Source organism: Homo sapiens, chromosome 2 (genome assembly GCF_000001405.40).
Source record: "Homo sapiens chromosome 2, GRCh38.p14 Primary Assembly".
Classification (NCBI taxonomy): Eukaryota; Metazoa; Chordata; class Mammalia; order Primates; family Hominidae; genus Homo; species Homo sapiens.
In genome coordinates this window covers 189,125,194-189,137,239 of record NC_000002.12, presented here as the reverse complement: position 1 = coordinate 189,137,239, position 12,046 = coordinate 189,125,194, and the positions used below count along the sequence as shown (strand labels likewise).

Genomic DNA, 12,046 nt, shown 5'->3' with positions numbered 1-12,046 from the left:
CTTGTCATTTCCTATAAAAGACCAATGATAATTCACTCAAGATCCATAAATCACATTCTATTGCTATATTTAATGTATTATGTTTGTGTTTTTGCTTGAAGAGATTGGTCCAGTTAGTTTTATTCAGAATAAACACGAACGAAGAAAACATTTGTTAACTGTAGATTAATAATTGTAATTATAGAACCTATAATATAGATTTCTACTACACTAAAGAGATGGAATTTAGATTCAGCATTTTATTTGACATTTGGCTTCTATTTTTCAAAATGATGAATATTATCAGACAATAAAAAGTTTGGGCCATCAGCAGTTAAAATGAAAATAAAGTTCAGATTGTAAGTAGCTGAAAGTGAAGCAAGTTTATAGCTTGCCATGTTTTACTAACTGAACCAAACTAAATATATTTGGCAAGACAATGTACTTGTGGCAAGAAAATGGAAAAAAGCAGTGTGATTACTTGAATAAGGTTGAATTTAGGTCTAATTCCAAGTATTAAAAATAAATGTAAGATAAAATATAATAACTATTATAAAATATAACATTAAAAAGTATAGAAAGATCAGGTTTGGAAATTTGACTATCTCTTTTCCCCACTCTCCATATCATTGTATTATTGTTAGCATCATAAAATTTCATAGTGTTTATGTCTGTCTGTGTAAACATACAAACACAAGATTTCTCCATTGTTATACATGTATGATATTTTTATATACATATATATTTATAAAAAAGAAAAAATATACAGATGCCAAATGTGAGTGTATATATAACTACCTCCTAGTTAACCTGTGTAACCACACCTGTGTAAAAGAAAATATCTATATCCTCAATACACACATATGAAGCTTTTACATATATATAAGTATATACATATATAAGCATATATATAAATATGTATTTATATACATGTAAATTTGTACTCAGGTATTTTTGTGTACATAGCAGTAAGGTTTTCATTAGAAGATGCTGATTAGCTCACTGGAAACTTTCTGGTTTGCAGAATAATATGTTGTCTTTTTATACACAAATTAATTTCCTATGAACATGTGTAGCATAGATTAGCATTAAAAATTAATCTGATAAATACAAGGTGACTTAACTATTAAGTTTCTGCACTTTCAGTGCTGAGAAAACAGAGCTTTAGTCAGGCCTAGCTCAGTAAGTCCCATCCCACTCGCAATCATTTTATTCTAACACCTCCCTGAACATAGCCCATCCAGGGAATAAATGTGACTGGTGGACCTCTTTCTCTGCTGATCCTCCTTACTGATGAAAGGTTTACACCTGCAATAACACTCTCTTGTTTCAAATCCAGGGCCTATCACTTATGAGGGATGGGAGTTGCTGTGAGCTACTGTTGGTTGCCTCATGGGAATGATACTGTTTATTGAGGATTAAGTGAGATCAAGAATATAAAACAGTTAGGACAATATATAGCACATATTAAGTATTCAATGAATGTAAGCTTCTATTGCTGCCTCTCCTATTACCACTATTATAGCTACTACCAATTTAAACAAAATCCTTTTAAACTGAATGATCTTTTAATATCTCTTATAAAATATGTGTTCTTTTTCATTAATCTGGAGATTTCCTAAATGTGTAGATATAAGCATAGTGTTTGCAACTACTTGAAGCCAAAACAATTGAAAGACATTAGCCTACGGATTATGAATGATAAACTGCCATGTGGAGTATTATCTTTTGTTCTTCAGTTCACTGTTTGTAACCAATATTTATGACACAGAGAAGTAGGATTTGTCAGAAATCATTGCAGTACTTCATTTTCAAGCTTAGGCAGTATTTCTTTTACCAGATATGTACTCTGCAGATTCATAGAGCGTTCAAAGCCCATGTGTTACTCTTAATAACTCACAACTGACTGTGTGGCAATATTTTCTCATAAAATATCTCCATTATAAATTATGTATTACTTAAATATCCAGGTTAGGAAGAAAAAAGTTGCTAATAGGGTTGAGGTAATAGTCCAGTAATCCATGAGCATCTGTGGTAGGTTCTGTTTTTATAATTTGGTTGTTTTGAATTAGAATGTATATGGTTTTAAATTAAGCCAGTCATTTTTTATTATTTGACTACAGCCATGATGTAAGCTGAAATGGAAAATAGGAATAGAAAGATAACAAGAAGAAAAGTTGTGACTTGAATTGAAGATTTATTACATATGTTATATGTAGTCCAGCCAACCCAACGTTATGAGCTGGAGATATGAATACTATCCTTAAAGGCAAGATAACTTTTCAAAACTTTAAAATTAATGCCTTGTATAACTTCTCAGTCTGTACTAATTTCATGTGGTTAATAAGGCATGCAGAAGCTAATGTTGTTACTAATGAAAAATTAATTGGGATTAGAAGAAATTTCATTTTCTAAATAATAAAAACTGATTGTCCACCCTATTTTCCTGATTTTAGCCAAGCTTAAGAGATGTATGTGCAACTCTTTTGAATGGCATTTATGACATAACTTGTTTCATTTTCCTGAAATTTGCCCTTGGTTTGTTGTTTGCTGACCCTCAAATTCCAGGAAGGCATTTTCATGTAGGATTTTTTTATTCTATGAGTTCATCAATTTTGAATTTGCTTTATGCAAAACTGTTGACAATGATGTACTTTCTAAAATTTATTTCTGAGATGGAGTCTCACTCTATTTCCCAGGCTGGAGTGCAGTGGCGCAATCTTGACTCACTGCAACCTCCGCCATCCGAGTTCAAGCGATTCTCCTACCTCAGCCTCCCGAGTAGCTGGGATTACAGGCACGTGCCACCACACCTGGCTAATTTTTGTATTTTTAGTGGAGACGGGGTTTCGCCATTTGGCTAGGCTGGTCTGGAACTCCTGACCTCAGGTGATCCACCTGCCTTGGCCTCCCAAAGTGCTGGGATTACAGGTGTGAGCCACCACATCCAGCTGATAATGATGTACTTTAAAAATAGAGTCTAGCAAATTGCCAAAAGGTTATATTTATATTGCCAACTACCTTAGAGGAATTTTCAGGCTTAGATTATAACTAACTCTGTAAAGGCCAGCTGGCTGGTGAGAATGCATAAGGTTCTGCATGACTGGCTTTAATACAGAATGGAGGGCAAGTATACCAATAACTCTCAGAGTGGGATGAAGAGGATGACAGATCTAACAACCTGTATTGATTCCAAAGAAATCAATCAGCATATCATTTTTAGTATTTTTTTCTTTTTTGTTGGTGAAAGAAGAGCTTTCATAAAGGGTCAAGCAATTCTGTATGGCTGTGTCCTCCCTGGACTGCATGGTCATTTTCAAGCAGAGGGTGTGGCAGCGATTTCATGTATGTCTTCCCAATCCTTCACTCAGAAATAAACACCTGAAGGAAAACTAAAATAGTCATTCAGAGCAGGATATGGTGCTTTAAAAATCTTTTTCTTGTGTGAAACATAACTTCTGAACTCCTCTGATTCTGTCATTAACACTTGGTTGGTGAAGTGGTCTCTCTAGCTTCTTTTTCTAGCTTCCCCTCTGTCGTAAGGATGGACCCTTCTCAATTTACATTAGGCCCAGAGTAATGAACACCTAACTGGCTTGCTGCATGGAATCTTTCCCTGCTGCCTGACGCTCTTAGTTCATTCCGTTGTCTCAGAAGATTCAGTCTTCCTTTTTCCATTTCGCAGCTCAACAAAGGAAAAGACTTCATGCCATCCCTATCACTATCAACCAAGTAAATGCAATGCTGTTAGTTGATGTTCAAGATGTCTGATTAAAGGCAGCCAACACCCTCTGGCATGTATTCCACAAGAAGTTCTTTCTTTCATAAAGAAGTTGAATAGGCTGGGTGTGGTGGCTCACGCTTGTAATCCCAGCACTTGTTGGGGGGCCGCGGTGGGTGGATTACGCAGTCAAGAGATCGAGATCATCCTGGCCAACATGGTGAAACCCCGTCTCTACTAAAAATACAAAAAATTAGCCAGGCGTGGTGGCAGGTGGTGTAGTCCCAGCTACTCGAGAGGCTGAGGCAGGAGAATCACTTGAACCCGGGAGGTGGAGGTTGCAGCGAGCCGAGATTGCGCCACTGCATTCCAGCCTGCCGACAGAGCAAGACTCGGTCTCAAAAAAAAAAAAAAAAAAAAAAAAAGTCGTACTTGGGCAGTAGTGTAGAGATTGGTTTGCCTGTTAATGAATTCAAACTAATCTCTACACTGCTGCCCAAGAGCATTCTATATTCAACTTCTTTATCTCTGAGAAATTGCTTATATCTCCCCAACTGTTATTTCCAGAACACTCAGCCAGGGAACACTCAATTAATATTGTTTTATTAATTTTTTTTTTGAGATGGAGTCTTGCTCTGTTATCCAGGCTGGAGTGCAGTGGTGCGATCTCAGCTCGCTGCAATCTCTGCCTCCTGGATTCAAGCGATTCTCCTGCCTCAGCCTCCCGAGTAGCTGGGACAACAGGTGTGCACTACCACACCCAGATAATTTTTGTATTTTTAGTAGAGACGGGGTTTCACCATGTTGGCCAGGCTGGTCTCAAACTCCTGACCTTGAGTGATCCACCCACCTCGGCTTTCCAAAGTGCTGGGATTACAGGCGTAAGCTACTGAACCCAGCCTGTTTTATTAATTTTGACAATAAATGAGATGAATTGTTAAAAACTACATTGAATGCATCTTTTTTTCTTATACATTGTGATTTGGTTATTTGAATTTCACTCATTGTTTTTCAATACTATTCTTCTTTTCCAAAGATATTAAAGATACTTGACTTAAATAAAAGTACATTCAAATTATTATAAAGTTAAGATAGTTTTTACTTAATATCTGCAGCCAGGACTAATAAGTCTATGCAGCTCCCTTAAATACACAAAGTTCATTTCCTCTGTTTTAACAGAAATTAAAAGAAAAACGTAAAATCAGGTTTGTAACCTTTCCAAAAACAAGTTCCCTTTTTTCTTCTCTGATTTTCTGAAGTTGTCTGTACCAAAATGATACTGTTATTTAGGAATGTTGATGTGGTAGGAAACTTCTACTTATGTCTCTAAAAACCAGACCATGATTACGTATCATAAAAATAGATGCAAAACGTGGCTATTCTGGCCACTTGAGGTCAGAGAACTTTGCCATGACTATGTTTAATTACATGTCCATACAACTCAATGACTTATTTTTTCAAAGAACAGACATTTTAATACAAGACAATCAAAATATGAACCTCAGTGGATGAATTAATAGATACCTTATAATCAAAATCTGTCAGCCTCTGAATTAACCCAAAGTTCAGTATTCACATTTTATCAATTATATTACATAGAATTGCCTTGTTTGAAATATTTAGGTATTCTTATGAGAAATACATAATTACTAATTTACACGTATAATTTCTTTTTCTCCTCTAATTTGTTTTAACAAGTATGAGAGGTAAATTTAGCTAAAAATTATGTATATGGATGAAGAAATTCTCTTAGAGGAACTCTAAAACTAATTGAATCATACTTGATATATTTGTTCTTTTCAACAATTCAGTTTTTTAATGCATATTTCATTAGGGTACCATCAATGTGTTTTCCTGAAGCCTAATTACACAAAAAATTATCACATATTTTCCCTCCTTCGGGTCCAGACAGAGCTGTTATTGAGCTCCAGGCCTAGTTGCTGTTTTTGCTCAAAGAGATTTTCAATGTCCAATGGCATCTCAAAGTAAACCTTGGACCCTAAATTTTTTGTCCAATAACATATCCTGATTGTCTGTGGTCTCTTAAGACTATCTAATTCATTAAGACATTTTTTTCACCCAAGAAATTAAACAAATGTTAAATTTTCTCAGCGAATTTCATATTTTCGTGAAATTTTTACAATGGCTTGAGCAGTTTAAGAAGAAAAAAACCTTTTTGATGCTTTGCATTTTATTTGCTGGGAAATTACCTAGGCAAAGAAACTTATTGTTCCATTTTATGAACTTTACAATTCACTTAGCTGTCAAAGTTATTTCCGGTAACCCAAGAAAGAACTTGATACCACTTTTTATGATGACAGGACTTAAAGATGACATTTATTCCAATAAGAATCGTCATTTGAAAATACTATGTTATTTCCCTCAGGTCTCTGCTCAAATTCTACTTTATTTGTGAGCTTGTCCCTGATTATTCAAAATTAAGCTCAGTCCCCGCTCTCCTCTCAATTCACTTTTCTCCTGGAGCTCTTTGTCTTTACCTTGCTGAATTTTTGGTAACACTTCTTGCTACTAGACATATTGTATGGTTAGTAAGTATAATATTTGCTTATTTCCTGTTTCTTTCCACTAGAGTATAAGCTCTTTAAGGACTAAATCTTTTCTGTCTGTTAACACTTATATTTCTAACATTGATATGGTGCCTAAGATATAGAAGGTAGTCAATAATGTGTTGAATAAATAAAAATAAATATATTAAGCATTTGTGATGTGACTTGGGCTTTATAAACTAAATTTTTCACAGGCACTTGTGTAAAAGGTAGGTTTGTAGACTGGTTTATACTCTAATATTTCATTTGTAAAATGGAATGGAAACTTATCTGTGTAGAAGAGATACTAGATGCTAGCTAGATCTGTTTGAAATCTTTTCAGAGCCAAGGTGGCTATTTAAATATGGTGGCAATACTCTGATTTTATTTCCTCATTTCCCTTTTAGTTCATGTGGCTACAGTGAAGACCCACTATGTCCTAGATCCCTTGCTAGGTGTAAGGGGTACAGCTATGAACAACACATAGATACCCTGCTTCAGTGGAGAGTAGCCTAGCTATTAAAGCAAAAATTAGGAATAAATATGATGAGTGTCTTTACAAGTAAATGCCCTTTTAAATTGAGCACATATTAGGTGCTCAAAAATCATTGTTAAATAAATCAGTAAATAAATTTGTAAAGAGGCTGTATATCAAAACTCAAATCCTGACACTTACTTCTAGAAGTCTATTTCATAGACTCACCTCTTAAAATATCTCAGTGACTAAAAGGATTTGGAGTAAATAGTCTAAAAGCATACTCATAGGTTCTAACCACAAAATACTTCCATCTTCCCACAAATTACTAAAGGAAGGAAAATTCTCATGTGAAATTAGACAAGACTGTTTCTTTCAGAAATAAAAGTATTCAGGAATGTGTTTGTCCGTTGCCCTATCACCACAATCCAGGGCAGTGTCTGGCATGGAGAAGACAGAAAACGCATTTTTGTTGAATCAAACTGAAGGAATATAAGGAGGGAAAAAGATTTTAGTTCTATGGCCAAAAAGATTTCTAGAATATCACAATACAGACATTTTTAGCTAACTATTAATTTATTTCATCTTCCTTTGCTTCAAGGTCACATATGCTCATATAATTTATAACTGCTGCAGGCAGAACCATTAAGAGAGCACAATTTCAAACAAGTGTAAGCCACATGAGGGCATAAACTTTATATTACGGTAAACCTCCCACCACACAGTCTTTAATGTAGCTGCATAATATGTGTATTTGGTAAATGGCTGAATTATAATCCAACCTCTTCCCCTAAATCTTAACATGGATGAAGTTTAAATGGATGTATGATACAGATAAGTTGCTCTTCAATTCCTAATTTGAAAATGATTTCCTAAATCATACACTATAACTTGTCCCTTTTGAAATCAAATAGGTGATTTACAAAAGTAAATGTCACCTAGTACCTAGTAGCTTTTGCACGTAAAAGAGAGATTTTAAAAGATGAGAAAAAAGGAAATTTGACATAAAATTATTATTTTATTTACACCATTTTCTCTTCATTTCTGAATAATTCAAGGAATGTCCCAGAATCATCTCTCAAAATAGAAGCTTGAAAAATCCTCATTGAAAAATCAGTTTTCAAACATTTTACATATTTCATATTGAAAAACATGGATTTTCAGATTTCTTTAGCAAATCATTTATGGGCTGGGCCCCTTTTAGTGAAATGTAAGGAGTTTTTCCTGCCAATTTATAAAAGCATAGAAAAACAGGCTGAAGACACAGCTGACAGCCTTTCGGCTTTAGTATCGCTAGCCATCTGTTTTCTATAAGGTAGTTGTTTTTTCTTGTTAAGTTCCCCGTGTGAAATGTTTTTCTTTTTTTTTTTATTTTTGGTTTGTGAATTCTACCCAGTGATAAAACTCACCAGGGGACCATAAAGGCACAAATGGAATCTGGGAGAACTTTGAGACTTCTTATATTCACACCAGAATCTCACTTTACTAATCTAAATCAGAGACTTTTTTCCATGGAGATTTGTTACCGAAATACCAGAGTCCTAATTGATTAAAGCAATTTTAATTCAAGAGGGTTTTTGCCTTACAACAGATGATTATTGAGAGAGATTTCAGGTTTATGATAGTTTTCGGTGATAAACTTTCCTAAGGACGCAAGTGCCCCATTTAGCTTTTCTCTGTTATTATAAGGAAGAAGCAGAAGATATAGTCTTCTCTAACAGCTGGACGTAAGGAAGGAAAGGTGCCTAATTGGGAATGATCATTCTAAAGAACAACAGTTTTCTTGTTGCACATCATTGGAATGCTTATTGTGAGGACGATAGTAATTATTTCTGAATCTGGCATCAAAATACTAGAGATGCTTCTAAAAAATACAAGTTTCCAGTTTCAAAACAAAATCAGAGTCACTAGAAGTAGGGCCTAGGAATCAGTATTTTAAAAAATTCTCTGAGCGATTCTGATGCAAAGCCAGGTTTGAGGAGCACCAACTTAAAAGAAAATCAAGGCTGAAATTAAAAAGAAAAAAACAAAAAACAACAAACTCTTCAATATGAGGGATACACAGCATTTAAAATCACAAACTACATATAATTTTTATGAAACTGATTTTGGATAAAATATTTGAATTACAGAAGAGCTGAAAGATCATAAATATATGGTTACAAAAATAACCTGAAGCTTTGGATGGCTTGGAAAGATAATTACTGGGATTTGCCTCCCAATTCTGCAAGCAAAATACCACCTACTTTTTACAAACATAACTAGCAAGGTATGTATGGGTTATATTGGCAGAAGTCACAAAACATACTTCAATGGCTTAAAATGCCTCTTGTCAAGGTGCCTTATAATTAGCTTCAAAAGCCTTCCAGCTGTGATTCCATTAAATACAGGTGTATTGCTGTGGGCAGCTACATCAGGTACTGTGGCATTAATAGGCTCAACTAATTGCTGCAGTGGATTTGTGCAGTATTATATGCTTACTCAGAAAAATTTATCTTGCCCTCTTTCCTACACTTACCATTTCTGTTCTTGAAATCTGAGTGCACTTCTGTTTTATGACCTTATTTATATAGACAGACTTGACCTCAGGGCGTTTTGTGGAAGAAGCAGCACTCCTTCACTGTGATCATAGCCTTATATAAATGGATTTTTGTCAATATAATGTAGATTTTTCTCTCCTGCTGCATCCTACTCCAGATTCTGATAGGCCCTATAAGGAGGAGACAGGTGAGCATGACTCTACATTTGATACACATGTAAATGGATTTGAATCAGGCAAGAGAAATCTGGGAACCTCTGTGCTAAATAATAATGGTTTGTGTCTAAATAACACATACTTATTTTTCAAAGCACTCTCACATCTATTTGATTCTCAGAACAACCTTGGGAAGGGGGTATATTATCCCTATTTTTTAGGTGAAAATACATGACAATCAAAGAAATTGTAATTTGTCAAGTGTTACATAGCAAGTAGTTTTCAGTGTTGGTGTGAAAAAGTAAAATAAATAAAAAAGCCTAGGTTTTCTGAACTACTCAATTTCCATTCCTCCTGCATCGTTTTGCCTCTTAAGGGTTTCCAGTGAGTAGATTAAGAGCCAAAATACATCTGAAAGGCTATTAGTTAGAGCTGCAAATTTGCTTTCTCTTCCTCCATTTCTTCTCATTCTTTTGATTTGGGTTGGCAAAATCCTACTCACTCTGAAGATGAAGCCAAAGAAAGAAGACTGAAGGCCATCAGAAATCTGTGGTCCAGACACCTGATGCTGCCATTTTTTCCAACCCTGTCCCTTTTTAACCACTCAATTTTGCTTTCCTTTTTTTTGTCTCTTCTCTTTCCCTGCCTTTTAACTGTATTGAATTACAAATCGTTTCTGGATAAATTCTACTTCTTTCTCAATTCTCAGTTCATACATCACTTCCACAAGAAAAGGTATCCCAATCCCCCTACAATGGCTAAGCAATGCTTGTACACACTCCCTAAGCACTCTGAATTTATTTCTGTAAGTTGCTTATCGTTTTGCACTTTAGTTCCTTGGTTATCTGATTGTCTTCCTAATTAGGATATAGCTACTTGGAGTTAGAGGGATTTCTTTTGTTTTGTTCAGTTTTGGCACCTAAAGAAGAAATGGCACATAATAGGTACTCAGTATTTGTTGGGTGGAAAACTATTGTCTCTGCTCATGGCCTTAGCATTCCATGCAGTGCAGTATTTCTGTGGATATTTCTTTGGAGACCCAAGTCTGTTTCCTCACCCTGCCAAGACTACTTCAAATCCCCTACATGGCACACTGGACTGCATATATTTCATTTACTAAATGTGGCCATTTTTGTTATGCTGTTATTAGTCCCTTGGTTTGGAATGCATTTTATTATTATAATGCTACCTCTGTAGGGGAAATTAAATTTGACTTACATGCTTTACTAAAAAGCCTAATTTATTCTTCCTGAGTTTTAGAAGCCAAAGAGCTGATTTCCTCTTTCCTCTTAAGAAATTCTGCAGAATGTTCCACTTGATGTGCTCTAAGTGCCTTGTCACTTTTCTTGAAATTCATTCTTGTTTAGCACTATGAAAAGAAATAAAAAAACTTATTTTTAATAACTTTAAGAAAAAGAAATAATTTCTTTTGGTAATAAACACTAGATATTAACATTTTAAAATAAAAATATTACTTTGGGTTTAATCACAACTTAAAGAAATTTTCCATAAACTCTTCTCATTACACAAAATATTACCATTGGAAAGAATCCACATATACTGACTTTTAGGTAATATGCATTTTGCTACTTTATCATATTGGTTTTTTTCTTTACTAACATTTCTAATATTTAAATCTTAAGATGAACAAGCTGAATGATTGTTAAGTGAAATTAATCTCTAATAAATTTAAGTATAACATAGTTCCTGTGTAAAAATCAATTTTTAAATTTCTGAAAACTTTAGAACACATATAGTGGAGTTTGTAATTTATCATATGTAGGCTGGTATAAAGTAGTATAAAGTCATGGCTGGGAGAGGGTTATTGTTGCAGATTTCATATTCCTGTAAGTTTTGACTAAACTCTTCACCTATCCGTCTATAGTTAAAGGAATCCAAAGCCTGGATCCCATAAGAAATAAGCAACTTTCTCTTAATTTTATGAGATGAGGAAGAATCATGTTGAATACAGTTGTCTCTCAAACAATATGGGGGTTATGGGCGCCAATAACCTGTGCAGTTGAAAATCCACATACAACTTTCAACTTCCCCCAAAATTAACTACTAATAGCCTACTGTTGACTGGAAACCTTACCTGTAACATAAACAGATGATTAACATGTATTTTATATGTTGTTTGTGTTATATACTGTATTCTTACAATAAATGAAGCTAGAAAAAGGAAGATGTTCTTAAGAAAATCATATGGAAGGGAAAATATATTTATGATTTATTAAGTGGATGTGGATCATCATAAATGTAGTCATTCTTATTATCTTCATTTTGAGTAGGCTGAAAAGGAGGAGAAAGAGAAGGGGTTTGTCTAGGGGTGGCAGAGGTGGGAGGAAATCCCCTTATAAGTGGACCCATGCAGTTCAAACCTGTGTTGCTCAAGATTCAACTGTATGTGAATACTGCTGTATGTGCAATTTGGTGTGGATATGCAGAATAATTTTGTCTATGCCTTAGAATTCCTAATTCCCAGGGAAGTCATTGGTAAATGCAGCTGGACATAAAATAATGCCTCTAAATCTACTTAACTGTTTTATTTACCAATTCAGATACTGTGAATGGCCTTATTCCCTTATGGTTGAACCTCTACAACATCAGAGAAGTTTCTATTGGTGGAT

General features: G+C 34.6%; 1 protein-coding gene and 1 non-coding gene across 5 annotated transcripts in view; both read left to right on the top strand.

Moving 5' to 3' along the window:
• The window catches only part of COL5A2 (collagen type V alpha 2 chain), a 409,214-nt gene that overhangs the window by 303,872 nt on the left and 93,296 nt on the right, over window positions 1-12,046 (top strand). The gene's annotated exons all lie outside the window — the stretch shown is intronic.
• Window positions 4,129-4,204, top strand: MIR3129 (microRNA 3129). The gene has a single exon (NR_036076.1). It is a non-coding gene; the product is annotated as a microRNA 3129 (primary transcript).